This window comes from Homo sapiens, chromosome 1, assembly GCF_000001405.40.
Source record: "Homo sapiens chromosome 1, GRCh38.p14 Primary Assembly".
Taxonomy (NCBI): domain Eukaryota; kingdom Metazoa; phylum Chordata; class Mammalia; order Primates; family Hominidae; genus Homo; species Homo sapiens.
This window is the reverse complement of record NC_000001.11, coordinates 144642103-144659131: the sequence shown is the minus strand read 5'-3', so window position 1 is coordinate 144659131 and position 17029 is coordinate 144642103. Positions and strand designations below refer to the sequence as shown.

General features: G+C 41.1%; 1 long non-coding RNA gene across 1 annotated transcript; it reads right to left on the bottom strand.

Annotated features, from left to right (window-relative positions):
* Positions 1 to 4692: 4692 nt before the first annotated feature.
* LOC105371215 (uncharacterized) lies at positions 4693 to 6688 on the bottom strand. The gene is made up of 2 exons (NR_160535.1): positions 6452 to 6688; positions 4693 to 5811 (listed from the first exon to the last, which is right to left on the bottom strand). It is a non-coding gene; the product is annotated as an uncharacterized LOC105371215 (long non-coding RNA).

Here is a 17029-nt window from a genome sequence, read left to right as displayed (position 1 = left end):
CCACAGCAGCCAGAGGAACTTTTCAAAAGTACAAATGTGATCAAGCAAGTCACTATTCTATTTCAAATCTTCAATTGCTTCTCAGAGCACTTAAAAGACAAACCTTTCCCAGTGCCTTTCTCCAGCTCATCTTGTGGCACTTGTCTCCCTGCTGCTATGCTCCAGCTATTCTGGCTTCCTTGCTGTCCTTCAAACATGCCAAGCTCTTTATCAATCAGAGCCCAACTGACTCAGAACACTTCACTATACCATTCCAGCCCTTCAATAAATGTCTGGCATTTTCTTTCTTTCTTTTTTTTTGAGATGGAGTCTCGCTCTGTCACCCAGGCTAGAGTGCGGTGGTGCGATCTCGGCTCACTGCAACCTCTACCTCCCAGGTTCAAGCAATTCTCTTGCCTCAAGCCTCCTGAGTAGCTGGGATTACAGGCATGCACCACCACGTCCGGCTAATTTTTGTATTTTTAGTAGAGAAAGGTTGTCTCCAAGTTGCTCAGGCTGGTCTCCAACTCCCGACCTCAAGTGATCTGCCCACCTTAGCCTCCCAAAGTGCTGGGATTACAGGTGTGAACCACTGCGCTGGGCCAATATTATTTTTTTAAGAAAATACTAATAAAAAGGAACAATTGATATTAAATAAAATTTAACTATTGACTATAAATATATGTTTCAAGAGATTTGAGTGAAAATACCATTCTACGTTAAAATAAAAAATATAACATTCGATAACTATAGTAATAACATGTTCTCAAAGATTCAAGGGGCTAAAGCTAATGAGAAAAAGTTAAATATAAACATCTTACAATTTACCTAATTACTTGAAATAGAAACTTATGTTCATTCCTGTATTTCTCCATTTTTCCAATTTCTAATGTCTACTTCTTTCCATTTTGTATTTTCTTGTATTGAGGCAATTTAAAGAGGATATGCCAGGTCTTCAGAAAGCCAAGAACTGAATATAAGCACTCTGGAACCTATCTGAACTTAATTTTGTCCAAGATTTTTTTAATGGTTGAAAATTGGCTCAACTGGGGATACTAAGAGGAAATATCAGGGGCAAAGGGGATTTGGGTTAAACAGATCGAACAGGATTCTTACTGAAGGCAGGCCAGACCGATCAGAAATCATCTGGAGGGTGGTGGGAGATAACAAATTTGATCAGATATCAAAGGTGATCAGTACTGAGAGTGGGGGATTCTTTGCAAGTTTCTTCCTAAACCTGAGAGATGTGGGCCAGACTAGGATGAACACTGAAAGCTGAGGCTGAGAGGTGGCTTAGAGGATCCCAACTAGAGTTTGGGCAAGGGGAGAGGCTTTGTCAATGCAAACATGCATTCAGCAATATTACCAAGTACAGATGCATGCACCTAAAAATACTGAAAGGAAATATAAGAAAATGTTTAAAAATTTTTAGTGGCTTATTTATTTTATGTAATTTAAATATATATATATATATATATATATATATATAAAATTAAGGTGTACTTTGAACACATACTAACACATTCAAAGAATTAAGTATACATTTGATAATACATAATAGTTACAAAATAAGCAAGGTCTTCATGTAAACGAGTTTAGAATTTCCAGGGTTTATTACTTAGCATTTGATCAGCAGGCCTGTAACTTCTTCTGCTGCCCATTCATTGCCCATTTTATTAAAAATTCCTCAAGTGGATGCATTGGAATGGAAGAAACACTGACTCTTTCCTTCAAAGAAGGAAACAACAAACCTTGTTTGACAACCCTGGTCAAACAAGACAAGGACCAAGTGGCCAGTGGTAAGGAAAGTTGGTCAAAACTAATGAATGACATTTTAGGTTAAAAGTGAATTTTATTTAACCCAATTATTCTTATCCTATGAACACAAATTTGAATTTAAGTTAGCTTGATGTAGCTGGTCACCCCATTCCAAAGCATGAGTCGAAATACCCTAAGGTTCCAGAAGGAGCCAGCTTTCTTCAGAAGGTGGCAAGCGCATTGCAAAGTACTGAGGAAAACTTTCTTTAAAGTATCTTTTTTCATCATTCCATATTTTGCTCCTTATAATTGCAACTGCTCTCCTTATATGTCTCTTTTGAAACTTCTCACTTGTCTAAGGTACTATTGTTCCTCCTCATCTTTTTTTTTTTTTTTTAATAGCATAGTCTCTCTCCCTCCTTGCCATGCTGAAAAGGCTTCTGACTTGCTGTTCTTGCCAGGAAATATTTCTGCAGGGCGTATTGGAGTGGAACTACTTACAGAGTGTCAGGGCAAGTCCTTACATTTGTTTATGCTTAGGACACAACACAGAAGATAATTTTCTAAGTTAAAGATTGTATGATTTTATCTTGACTTCAGAAACTGGTCATACTTTTTTACTTTAGTTTCTAAGAACCTCAGAGCTGAACTTGAAACAACTTTAATAATTCCAATGAGACATTTGTTATTTATCCTTTTTAAAAAAGACTTTTCTAATTTAAATAATTTTATTATTGCTCTAAATTTGCCAGGTTCATTTAAGAATTTTATAAACTGTTTTAAAACTAATTTACATTAAGTTGGAATAAAGTTAACCAAATTAATACAAACATATTTTATTGCACTTCTCTTTATTGTGCTTCACAGATAGGAACATTTTTTCTTTATTTACAAATGAGATGTTTGTGACAACCCTGGTGAAGCAAGTCTATTGGTGCCATTTAACAAACAGCCTGTGCTCACTTTGTGTCTTGGTTTCACACTTTGGTAATCTTCACAATTTTTAAAATATTTCCTTATTATTATATTCGTTACGGTGATCTGTGATCAGTGATCATTAATGTTATGGGAGGCAGAGTTTGCAGTGAGCAGAGATCATGCCAGTGCACTCCAACCTGGGCAACAGAGTGAGACTCCATCTCAAAAAAAAAAAAAAAAAAGGAGTTTTTATATGTAGGGTACAAAATACTATCTGACCTTAGGGTGTGTGCAAATTTTTCTGAATTAAGACTTAAATACCAACAGGAGTGATTGTTTTTGTTACAATCACCAGGTGGGTGATCTGATACTTTCCCCTGAAAAATGCATATACAAAATTTTCACATAATTTAAAAACATCCACGGATGCATAACTATGGAATCAGTTTATGGATCAAGAATTCAACTCCTCAGAAGTAAAAGATTACATGAGAAAGTATCTGATATTGAGGTGACAAGGAATAATGTTGAAATGTATCTCATTAAAAAGTGCAGACAGTTGTGGCTAAGACATTGGGTATTACAGAGGTGCATCCATGTGTCCAGTGAGAAGACTTTAAGAATCTGTTTGGGAATAATGAGAACATGAGCATTCTCCTCCCTACCTCTAGCACTCCCCTCCTGCTATTTGGGTATTGTGAATTTACCAAACACAGTGATTTAGGTCACTTTTATTATTTCAGAAATTCCAGATACCTTACTACTTATATAAAATAGCCCTTGAAAGGATGCTTACCATTAAATAATGTATAATACAAAGAAAAGACAAATGTATGTGATCTGTAGTGCACAGTTATAATACAATCTGAATACTACATTTAAATTTTTCACTCCACTTTCCAAGAAATAAAGCATTGATTCTAAATATATTATCTATTTGTCAAAACAAATAGAAACTATCTAGTGTTTCATTTATAAAAGAAATTAATTAATGGTGTCTCTAAGTTAATTTTTTACTTCTTTTCCCCATATCATTTTTATATTATATGAGAGCATATTTTTCTACTCTACCCTGGAATTAATAAACAAAAAATAAGGTATGATAAGAAAACTTCAAATATAAACATAACCAAACTAAAATAACACCTTTTTTCTTCTATTTACTTTATTTCTTGAACTCAGTGATGTAATATGTCTTCATCTGCCTCTGAGAATACACTTAAAACTACAGAAGCAAATTAACATTTTCCCAATTCACATGTAGTGCAATATTTAAGATTTCATCTAATTGAACACGTGTTGGATCAAATTTATAATACTAAAAGCACTCTTCTACATACTGCAATGTCTAGATGGAAGACAAGCTAGTCAGGTGGCAGAGTGAACATCATTCTGGTAGGCCTTTTCAAGCTGTCACTTGCAAGATGTTTGGACTGCTGAGAATGTTAGCCATAATTAATTGCAGAGATAGGAGGCTGCAAATGGGTGAGGTAATGTTCAAATGCATGGAATGATGACTAGTCATAGTAAAAGATAATAGATGTGGCCACATTGCTTTGAGAAAATTTAGAGAATATTTTGGGTCACAATGATACATTTCTGCATTATTTGTGGAATGTTTTCAATGTAATTACATCACACAGGTAGACTTCCAGATCCTGTGTCTAACTTACTTTCCTTGGCTCTGTGGGAGAACACATATTCTAATGAAGTTCATTTTAAGGCAAATATTTCTTGAAAATACAAAACTGATAGATATATGTATGCAGGTTTCCTTCTTATACGTCTTTTATAAACAATGAAGTTGTATTTCTCCTTTAGTGTTTAATGTGTTTCATCAGATAATGCCCTAGAAGTTTTATCAAATTTTTCTGTCTACCATTTGAAGATGTATGAGAGGGAAAAAATGCAGTCTGCCTGCTTCACTAACAAAAGTAGGACAAAGGCCATCACAACTGAAATATGTGAAACACTTGGTTTTATGAATTTCAAGCATTTTATATCTCTACATTTGGACTCGAGTAAAGACATTTCATAGAAAAACTGAAATATTTTTATTTGTTTATTTTTTAATCTTGATAACCTGCAATAGTTTACAGCCAGAATGGCAGCTTTTATATATGTACACTCATTTAAATACAGTTTCATACCGTAAATAGCCATGGGGCAAAATATCTGCCTCTAGGCACAAAAAAAAAAATCTTTGCCGCTAAATAAACACCTTTAAGTGATACTGCAAAGAATAGATATGAGGTAATTTTTTACCTAAATGACTCTGGCCTGTATTAAGACATATTCACTGTAACAATTCAAGTTTTAAAATCCTTGTTTTGTAACTCAAAAATATATCTTTTTTACAAAACACACCTTTACATTTATTGCTATTGTACATTTATTTGGCAGGAAACAGGGATGTTTGATGTCTTGCAATGATAAAGCGATCGTATTCAATAGAAAATTGTCTCACATTCTGCAAGACTTTTGAACATTCTATAAGACAATTACATAAGTGAAAAACAAATTTGTAGATATTTGAGTACAACCATTTAATATATGAATAAAAGCAGTTCAGAACATTTTAATGTACACTGCATTTTCTGATAGTAAGATTTTAGGTTAAAATAAGATTATACTTCAAAAAGTGTACCATTTTGAAAAAAAAATCATATCACTGCTGGCAATGCCATTTTCATACTAGTCCAACATATTGCTTATCCATCTGTGTTTGTTTGATTTTACTGTTATTACTTTCATGATAATGCTAAAGTACATACATACACACACACACACACACCTAAGGTGTGCAGGCTTTCATCCAAGCTTACTGGTATTAATTAAAAATCAACCAGAGGTAGGGAAAAATAAAACTTATTCAAAAATACTATTGCAATAGGGAGAATATTCCAAACTCAATCTACAGGTGTCTCAGGATCAAACAGGAAAAGGCTTTCCTTTTCTAGGGAAGGACAAGCAGGGCTGGCAGAAGCCTCCTTGGAGAGAAGGACAGGCAGTCGGGTGAGCAGGTGGCAAAACCAGGATGCTCCAATAAAAATAGTTTCTCTGGGAGTCCCGCTCATTTTTGGAGTGAGCTGTTAGCGGGCTGGTCTGTCCTTTAGTGCTTGTTCAGTCTTAGGTGGTGAGCCAAGGTCCAGGGGCCTGAGGAGAGGAGACAAGACTGTCTGAAGTTTGATAAAATCAAGTCAATGGGTAGTTATGAGTAATTGTGAGCAATTGGTCAGCTTTGGGCTCAGCACACACCCCACCTTATGTTGTTTACCACAAACAAAACTTGTCCCTAAAAATTTTTAGGAATGGCATCAGATATAGCGAAGGTTTGCAAACTGATTTTCAGGGTTGGGCTGGTCTTCATGTGTTTGTTAACCTTGAGGACTAGGTATATCATTTGTTAAGTGTGTTATTGGACTGACAGCTGCTCTCTATGAAAAGTAGAATAATCATTGAATATAATAAAAAGAATAATTATTGAAGGTTGGATAAAGAGGTCCGCGGAGCGATGGGCGAGTACGCGGGTGCCACACGCTCCTCGCCTTCTGCTGCCTGCAACTGGTGGCAGCGCTGGAGCAGCAGATCTTTGACTTCCAGGGCCGCCTACCAGTGAGCTCCCACCCTAGCCAATTTCCTGCGCCTCGTGGCGCTCACCCTGGGCATCGTGGGCACCGCAGTGTGGCTGACGCTCCGGGCTGGCCTGAGTGCGTTTATCACCTGCTTCTACCCGAAGGCTGGACCCAATATCCCCAGACCGCGACTTCCCCACAGCGTCCAAATGCCCCTGTACCGATCCAGGGATGGAGAATCGCCGGGCAGCGGGCGACTCCGGTTCTGAGCTTCCCCTGGCCATGGGGCGCTGCCGTGCAGTCTTGTCCCTGGCTGCCTGCTGCACTGTCCCTGCAAAGAAGCCCTCAGCAGCGCCCGCAGATCCTCCTGGCGCTGCTCCGCTTCCTGTTCGCCAGCTATGGGAGCAAAGTCTTCCTGAAGGAGGAGGCAGCTTTGACTTCATCAGCGGCTTCCACTCCTAGGGATGCCAGGCGCCCCAGAAGACGTCACGTTGACACCAGCAGCCTCTATGCGCTTCGGGTAGCCCTGCCCCGCCTGCCCTGGCCCTGTGCCCTTGGCGCTGGACTGACCTCGGCAGCCGCGATCTTGGTCAGGACCAGCAGGCACAGCCCTGGGGGCTCGGGACCCACTGCAGCCTGTGAAGGCCCCATGGCTCTGCACACAGAGAGGCGGAGCAGCAGACTTTGGGACTTGGCCCCTCACAACCAGGACTTCAGAGAGGATTGGGGCGGGTAAGGGAGGGGCCACGGAGTCCGCATTTTAAAAAAATTCAGACTTAGTGTGAGCTGGAGCTTTTCTCCCTTCTCCAGCCTCTTCCTTTCACCCTTCACCCAGCATCCCGCCCCTGTCCAGAGAGAAACAGCAGGAGGGCTTGCCCTTTCTATCTCACCGCACTCACTCCCCAGCCTGAGGAAAGCCGGGGGAACTAGGGGCAGGAGTTCTGGTTTCTCATCTCAGGTCCATCAGACTCTGGGTGACAGCTAGCAGAGCCCTAGCCTTCTCGGTGCCTCAGTTTCCCCACCTTGTCATTAAAAGAGTCCCTTGGTAGGTGAGCTCTTCTAGCCTTCTCATATAACTCTGAATTCTGTGGGCTGGGGTGGATTATAAATCCCATTTTGCAGATGTAGAAACTGAGGCCAAGAGAAATGAAATGGTTTGAGGCCACACTGCTAGATTTTGGTGGAAGCAGGCCTTGAACGCAGCGGACTTTCTGTAGTTTCAGCCTCTAAAACCCAGTGTCCTCTCTGAGTTCCATTTTCAGGCCCCTCACTACATTCACACATCACTGCTTGCCAAGACCTCTCCTCAACCACCATCTTATCAAAGGTGACAAGAGTCACCTTTGCTCCAGTTCCCAGCAAGTTCCTCATCTCCATCAGAGACTGCCTCAGCATGGATTTCATTGTCCATATCATTATCAGCATTTTGGTCAAAGCCATTCAACAAGTCTCTTGGAATTTCAAACTTTCCCACATTTTCCTGTCTTCTGAGACCTGCAAATTGTTCAACCTCTGCCAGTTACCCAGCTCCAAAGTAGCTGGGATTACAGGCACACACCACCACACCCGGCTGATTTTTGTATTTTTAGTTTCATCATGTTGGCCAGGCTGGTCTTGAACTCTCGACCTCAGGTGATCCTCCCCCCTTGGCCTCTCAAAGTGCTGGGATTACAGGTGTGAGCCATTGCGCCTGGCTGCTGCTCCTTTTTTTTTTGTGATGGACCTAAGAGATCTTTAGGAATGAGGGAAATGATCCTTTCTTTGAATAAGGCAGAATACTAAAGACTAGCCAGCCCTCAGGCTCATGGTGGTTGCTGCTATTCTGTTGAATGTGAACCATAGCCTTTAGAAAGGAGCAAGTCTTTGTGGAATACACAGGATTTGAAGTGCAACAAAGGGGTGGAAACCCAGCTGACCATGATACCTTCAAGTGAGTTTTTCCACTGAATTTGATTATTTTCCCATTTGGCACTTCTTTCTGGGTTTTTTAAGCAGCCCAAAAACTCTAGGTGATTTTACTTTTGTAATTGTATTCTCTTGGGAATGCTCATTCCTGATTCCTCGTTTCACCAAATAGGTGTGGAACCTACTTGTTTCTGCCTATAATAATTCTGGAGTCTTTAAACAAAACGACTGTGACTTTTCATGTTGAGTAGAAGATAGATTTTACTCATGCTACAATCAATATTAATTCCTTGCAGTTCAAAGACACTGAGGCCTTGTCTAATAATATAGAAGTTGAACTTGGACTTGGGAGATGACTCCTGCCTCTCGTCCTCTCTGTGGCTCTGCTTTCTATTATTTTACTCATAAGCTTGTTTTGTCTCCTTGCTGAGAATTGTCAAACATGAAATGTAATTTCAGGCTATAGTGAAGAAAGATGACGTAGGCAGAAGAAATTGGCAATCATTTGGCCTGTACATGTTGCTTTTTGTTTTTTTTTCTGGACTTAGGATATAGACCACACCTTGACATTTCTGGCCTTTGAGTCTTTCACAACTGTGATTATAATACATTAGCTCTTCTAGAAGTTAGAAGTGACTTTGGATTAAGTCTTTCATAAGGTGGCTAAATGAATTTATATGGCTCATCACAATTCACTAGATTGGTTAAGCAGGAAGTTTACAGAGATTTTTTTCTTTGCTGTAAATGTTTTTCTAAATTGAAAAACTTCTATTACTGTTTTCTGGAGTACTAGAAATAAGTGCAAGTGATTGTTTTTGGCAGGAGGCCACATAAACATTTCTGCTTCTCTGTGCCTTATGGGTAGCATTGATATAAATTGTTAAAAATAATGATTGTAGATAGATAATGTATCAGAATTTGGGCTCACCTGCGGTAGCTGCTGTTGACCCAGAGGGACCACTGGGATCCTCACATCTCAGGGCAGCACATCGTTTGCAGCAATGGTTGATTCTACGCAACCTTTTATGAAATTAGGTGAGGCCCTTGCTTAGAATTTTTTAAAAGCTTAATATGAGTTTATATCTCTTTAAATATCAGTTTCTAATATTTTTTTTAAAGGCCTATGTTTACAACAAATTTAGGAGATACCTTTATGCACTACTAACTAGTGTTCTTTTGTGGTGCTTTAGAAATTCTGGCTTACTTGTATTTTTGCTGGCCTTCTAATGATTTCACTCATCAATCAGAAGATATTTGTGTCCACCTCCCTGCTTCCTCTCCGGTGATCTTGTCTATTCTTGGCCATTTTAGAGTTGACTTAGCAGCCTTCACAAAACTGATTGGAATTTCCACTGGGATTAAATTGATAGGTCATTTTTGGGAGACCTTTGCAATATTGAACTTTCCAATCCATGAACTTTACTTATCTGCCCATTTATTATGTTTGTTTTTGGTAGATTACAAAATTATATGATCACTCCAAAAATTACCTTGCCCTTTATAGTAAAACCTTCCATTGTAAACTTCTGGCAATAACTGATCTGTGTTCCTCTGGCATTGCTTTTTTTTCAGAATTTTATACAAATGGAATCGTTCAGGATGTAGCCTTTTGAGTCTGGCTACTTTCATATACTGCATCAACAGTTATTCCTTTTAATTGCCAAATAGTAATCCATTGTATAAATACTACATGGTTTGCTTATTGGTTTGTCGTTGGAGGAATATGGACTATTTTCACTTTTTGATAAATTATAAGTGGATTGGAATTCACAAAGTGCTTTTTGTCTGAGCATAGGTTTTCATTTCACTTGTGCAAATGCCTAAGGGTAGGATTGCCGAGTCACATGGTCCATGTACGTTTGACTTTATCAGAACCTGCCAAATTGTCTTCCAAAGTGCTGTGCCACTTCTGTTTCTTTAATAAATACAGGGGTATTCAAGCTGTCTGTTTCTTCTTGAGTTTCGGTAGTCTGTCTTTCAAGGAATTGATCTATTTCACCTAATTTGTAGAATTTAGAAGCATATAGTTGTTTGTTTTGTTTTTGTAGTGTCCATTCTAGCCTTCTAGTGTCTACAGGATTTGTAATAATATTCCTTTCATTTCTGGTATTGGCAATTTGTGTTTTCTCTTCTTCCTTTGTCAGTCTGCTAGAGGCTTCCTCATTTGATTGACTTCCACCTCCCACCGCCCTTGCAAAGAACCAACTTTGGATTTCGTTGAATTTTTTTCCTTTACTGTTTTTGTTTAAATATTACTGATTTAGTCTGTTTTTCTTATGCCTGATTTGAGTTTATTTGGTTCTTTTTTTACTTAAAGTAAATGCTTACATTATTGATTTGATGCTTCATTTCTCATAATTTAGTGCCATAAATTGCCCTGTAAGCACATATTTTGATAAGATGATGTCATATTTATTAAGTTCAAACTGTTTTCCAATTTGTCTTAAGATACTCTCTTTGACCTATGGGCCATTTAGAAGTATGCCATTTAACTTCTCATATTTGGGGATGTTCTAGAAATGTTCTAGATTCCTAGTTTAATTCTGTCATCAGAGAAAATAATTCACTGAATTTTAATTGTTTAACTTTAGGGTTTGTTTTATGACCCAGAATATGATCTCTCACCACCACCATCCAGATAATTCTTCAGGTTTTGACGTTTCCCAACCTGTCTGCTGGTTACTTTTCAGAGTACTTGGGTCATTGCTATTTATATTTTGTCCAGAGTTTCAAATTGTGATCAGTGGAAATGACAGGCCGTAGCATGCATACGCCATCCTGGCCAGCATCACAGGCGGTCAGCATATCTTTCTGTTGTTGTTTTGAGACAGGGTCTCACTCTATTGCCCAGGCTGGAGCACAGTGGCATGATCAGGGATCACTGCATTCTCAACCTGCTAGGCTCAAGTGATCCTCCCACCTCAGCCTCCCGAATAGCTGGGTCTATAGGTGTGCTGCCATGCCCAGCTAATTTTTGTATTTTTTATAAAGACGTGATTTTGCCTTGTTGCCCAGGCTGGTCTCAAACTCCTGAGCTCAGGCCATCCTCTCACTCGGGCCTCCCAAAATACTAGGATTACAGGCATGACCACCACACCTGGCCAGTACATCTTAAAAATAATTGCTGATCCACGTTGAATAATGATGGCCTGTAAATATTTTCTCTTGCACTTGCCTTGTTGGGTTTTGATATCAAGGTTATTTTTATTTTAACCTTGTAAAATGAACTCGGGAGTCTTCTTTTTTTATTCTCTGTGTTGGTGGCAGAGTTTTTTTTGTTGTTGTTGTTTGGTTGGTTGGTTTGTTTCTCTTGTATGTTTCATGAAACTTTTTGGTGAAGGCACTTGGGCCTGGAAATTTCTTTATGGGAAGTTTTTTCATTACTGATTCAATATATTTAATCTATGTAAGTTTTTTTTCTACTTTTTGAGTCAATTTTGATTTTTTTTCCTAGAAATTCATATCTCACCAAGTATGGTGGCTTATGCTTGTAATCCCAGCACTTTGGGAGGCTCAGGTGGGAGGACCACTTGACTACAGTAGTTCAAGACCAGCCTGGCCAATATAGTGAGACTCCATCTCTACAAAAAAAATAAAAATTAGCTTGGTGTGGTGGTGGGTGCCTGTAGTGTGAGCTACTTGGGATGCTGAGGTGGGAGGATCATTTGAGCCTGGAAGATCGAGACTGCAGTGAGCTGTGATTGTGCCTTCTTCCTTCCCCCTCCTCCTCCTTTTTACTTTTCTTCCTCTTCCTTTCTCTTCTTCTTTCTCTCCTTCATTATCCCTTTCGCTGTTTCTCTTTCTCCCTTTCTCTTTTTTCTTTTCTTTCAATTTTCTCAATTACTAAGAGATGTTTAAGTACCCTCAGCGTGTTAGTAGATACGGTTATTTCTCCCTTTAGTTCTCTTTTGAGATTTATAGTCACTCAAATAAAGAGATAACCCAAACATAAGCGTCACAAACAGGCTTTCATACCATTCTTAATTTGGTCCTGTAATTCTTCATTGCTGTATTAATTTTCTGATGCTTTTAAGGATGTTTTATAACAAATTGTGTAGCTTTTTCCAATGGAATGTTTATTCTGAATTATCTAATTCATATTGTAAGTATAGAGGGAGTTTAATATAAAATTATTAAACTAATATTTGTGAAAGAATGTATTTGTGCATTTAACAAATATGTTAATCCTCAGACTGTTATTGGGCAGCTCAGCATACAGGAATAAAAATAACACAATTTTTATGTGTACAATATTTATGGAATACGTTACTGGACCCAATAAATAATTTAGTTAATAACATGACAAAGAACAGAAATTGTATACACCATAGAGCATAGTAATGGAATAATGAATGATTAAAGTTATTAATATTAGGTAGAAAGTGAAGGGTATCTTTGAGAGCAGAATTCAAGGAAGCAAGCAATTCGCCTTATCAGGAAAGAGTTACCTGTGGATAAAGGAGAAACTGAAAAATTTACAAGTCAAGACTTTTTGAGCAAAAACAAAAATATGACTATTAGTCACCAATTCAGTACAGTGAAAAAAATGTTGAAGAGATATCTTGGAAGTAAACCATGTTGTGGAAGAGCATGTAGGGTTTTGATAATCATGGGATGATTCTGAATTAATTTTAAATGCGATAGGAATATATGAGATAATTTCACCAGAGAATAATATGATTGTGTTTGCATTTCAAAGGGGTGTATCTGGTGCACTGTGTAGAATAAATAGGTTATGTGAGCAAATAAATTGGGAGGCTACTCTAATCCAGCGAAAAAAGGTAGTGACCTAGGTGAGAATGCTGTCAGCATGAGTGGTAGTAGTGGTGAGAAGTCGTTAGGCCATGGATGTATTTCATAGGACTGGCCAAGAGAACTGCAGGTAAATTGGAGTGTAGGGAGTGAAATAGAGAACTCAAAGATGACTCTCAGCAATGGAAGGTGACAGCTGTCACTGAAGCATGCTGATGCCTCTTATTAAGAGAGTTACTTGGGAATGGCAAGATCAAAACTTCTCACTTTCAAATTTATGAAAAATATTGTTTTCAGAACGAGTGACTTTGGGATCAGAAAGCCACCATTCTAATTGATGGTTCCACGACTACACGGGCTCACACTCGCAAGAGCAAAAGTAAATCATCACAAAGGTGCTTCTTGATAATTCTAGAGAATGGAGAATTACTGTAACATCTTTCTGATTTTAGGAGAGGTAGCAGTTCCCTTTTTAGCCTAAACGCTATTTCTTTTTAAAGCTCAGCCAAGAGACTCCATTATAATTTTCAAATGTGTGTAACTTAAATTCTCATATGAAATACCACTATGCTTAAATTAGTCAAAACATTTTCCCCATCTACAACTCTATCTTGTCATTGTAATCATTTTCACAAAAGTGACTGCAGCTCTCAGACCCTAAAAAGAGAAAATCCAGGGTAGTTTATCTGATCTAGTTAGTTTCGAAGACAGGATCTAGAGATTATTTAATACGAAATGGGTCACCTGAAATGAAGTGTTTGCTGAAAACAGCTTGGATCAGCCCAGTTTTCTACCACTGAACCATGCATTTGGTTTAAAAAACACAACAACTCTGCGGAATATCGGCTGCTTCCAACTGTGTTGAAGGTGTTAAAGAAAAGAGCATAAAATTAAAAATGATCATCTGAGGCCTTTATAGTCTCTGCTCAAGAGACTAGAGTTTTCCATTCTTAACGAAACACCCAAATATCTTAATAATTGGGCAAAATCTAAATATCAGAGATAATTTTATCTTGAAGATTGTTAAATTATAACGGTGATTCACTAGCTTGCCACGTCTCTGAGTCAAAAATTAGGTCTTTGTTTAGGAATCAATCATAATCTGCAATTTGGAAATAGGAAGATTTTAGAAGACTCAGACATTGACTTTCTTGTGTGCAAAAAAAAAGACGTATTGAGATAAGACAAGTCTTTCCTTGCAAGGATACCTCTAATGCTCATACACCACCTCCCCTAACATTAATAGAGCTTCCAGGTCACTAACCAGTGTCAGAGAGCAGCCCACGCAACCAGAAATTCAAAAGATGTCGAACATAGGGTCAAGCTTAGAATAAGACGTCTTAGCTAATTAAGTATGCTTTTTTCCCGAAATTCATATTAACAAAATCTTGGATATGTCAGAGAATGCATTCTAAGTTCACTCAACCTAGGAGGGAGAAACATAATTTTAAATTAAGAGCTGAAGCATTCTTGTCCTAACACAAAGCAAGGAAAACGAAATATCACACCACAGGAGGGATTTCACAAATTTGCGTCAACATCAAAACCTTAAAATAGGCAAGGAGAATGCAGATTCACAATGAACTCTTGTACTTGTTTTGTTCAGAGAAGAGACGGTTCTGAGAGAATGACAGTGAACTAACCCCAGCTGGGTTTAGTTGGTGCTTTCAACTACTGCTTCTGATCAACTCCTTTAGCTAGAATAAATTGATGAGGATTTTGGCCTGTGGTATTAGAGATGGTTATTAATTTTTTCCTCTTATTTGCATTGTTCAATATAGTAAATACTAGCTGTATATGGCTACTTCAATTCAAATTAATTACAATGAAATATACTTAAATATTGAATTTCTTAGTCACTCTTGGTTCATTATTGAATATCTTCAGCTAAGATTTCCCAACTAAAGACACTAAGAGGTGGCTTAGTTAACCGGTCATCCACAAATATTGAAGCTGCTGTTAACTCCTGATATATTCTCTGCAAGGAGAATACTCATAAGCCTCCTCCTGAAATCAGCAGCCTAGAGATAGTTTTATAAACTGGATACAAGTTGGAAATCTATATACTCTTTAAGTGTTTGAAATATTAGCTTTCCAGGGAAGAAAATCAAATTCATAAGATATGCTAGGACAATTTAACTCAAGATGTTCAAAACTGAAATGACATATTCTACAACATGTGATAAAACCACCCCCTAACAACTTAAAGCAAAACAGGGATGGACCTTAAAGACCTGCCTTTTCCTCATCCCCCAGCCAATCAGTTTTCAAATCTTGCATTTTATTTTGAAAGGTCCCTATCCCCCTGGTCTCTTGTTTCTAGACTTGGCACATATTTAAGTTTGTTACCTCTCTCTACTGACTTTTCTCTCTTCAAACAGTATCCATGCCTGCCAAATGTGAACGTACAAGAAACAAATCAGAATGTGCCATTCTGATTTAAACTGCTTATTAGTTAATACCCTCAAGATAACATCTGGGTTCTTAGCTTCAATGAGTCAAGCCTACTTACATCTTTTTGTCTTTGGCTGCACATTTCCTATCACATCGCACTCCAGCGATGCCAAGCTGTGCCGGCCTTCCACTCCATCTCCATTATTTCACCCTCCGCCGCCGCCGCGGCTTTTTGCCCCCCCGCCGCCGCGGCTTATTCCCCCCACCCCGCCTAGGCTTTTTGCCCGCCGTGGCTTCCCCGCCCCCCGCCGCGGCTTTTTGCCCGCCGCGCCTTTTTGTCCCCGCCGCCGCGACTTTTTGCCCGCAGCGGCTTTCTGCCCCTCTGCCGCCGCGGCTTTTTGCCCCCACCTTGCCTCGGCTTTCTGCCCGCCGCGGCTTTCTGCCCCCACCCGTCGCTGCGGCTTTTTGCGCCCCCGCCGCGGTGGCTTTTTGCCCCACCGCCGCCGCGGCTTTTTGCCCGCCGCGGCTTTGTGCCCCCCCGGCGCCAGGGCTTTTAGTCCGCCCCGGCTTTTTGACCCCTCGCCGTTGCGAATTTTGTCGCCGCGGCTTTTTGCCCGCCCCCCGCCGCTGCGGCTTTTTGCCCCCCGCCGCCTTTTGCACCCCGCCGCTTTTTGCCCCCTCGCCGCCGCGGCTTTTTCCCGCCGTGGATTTTTCCCCCCTGCCCCCGCGACTTTTCACCCGCCGCGGCTTTTTGCCCCCACCCCGCCTCGGCTTTTTGCCCGCCGCGGCTTTTTAGCCCCCACCGCCGCGGCTTTTTGTCCCCACCCCGCCTCGGCTTGTTGCCCGCCACGGCTTTTTACCCCCCGCCGCCGCAGCTTTTTGCCCGCCGCGGCTTTTTGCCCCCACCCTGCCTCGGCTTTTTGCCCGCCGCGGCTTTTTGCCCCCCGCCGCTTTTTGCACCCCCGCCGCCGCGGCTTTTTCGCCGCCGTGGCTTTTCCCCCCTGCCCCCGCGGCCTTTTACCCGCCGCAGCTTTTTGCCCCCCGCCGCCGCGGCTTTTTGCCCCCACCCCGCCTCGGCTTCTTGCCCACCGCGGCTTTATACCCCGCGCCGCCGCGGCTTTTTGCCCGCCGCGGCTTTCTGCCACACACCCGCCGCCGCGGCTTTTTGCCCCTCTGCCGCCGCGGCTTTTTGCCCCACCGCCGACACAGCTTTTTGCACACTCGCCGCCTTGGCTTTTTGCCGCCGCGGCTTTCTGCCCCCTCGCTGCCGCGGCTTTTTGCCCCTCCGCCACCGCCGCTGCTTTTTGCCCCACCGCCGCCGTGGCTTTTTGCCCGCCGCGGCTTTTTGCCATCGCGGCTTTTTACTCGCCACGGCCTTTTACCCGCCGCGGCTTTTTGCGCCCCGCTGTCACGGCTTTTTGTCCCCCTGCCACAGCGACTTTTTCGCCGCCGCGGCGTTTTGCCCCCGCCGCCGAGGATTTTTGTCCCCGCCGCCACGGCTCTGAGGGCGGGAGCGGCAGACTCGGCTGCCAGCTCTACTGGCGTCCTGGCAAGGGCAGCGCTGAGGGGTGCTCCTGGTCCAGCTCTCCTGGCTCAGGGATTCCTTGCCTAGGCGCCGGCGCCCCAGGCTCCTTGCCTAGGCCCCTGTGGCCTGCATAGAGTGGCGCTGCCTGTGGAGGCGATGGGAGAGAAGAAGGAGGGCGGTGGTGGGGGTGATGCGGCGGCCACGGAGGGTGGCACAGGGGCTG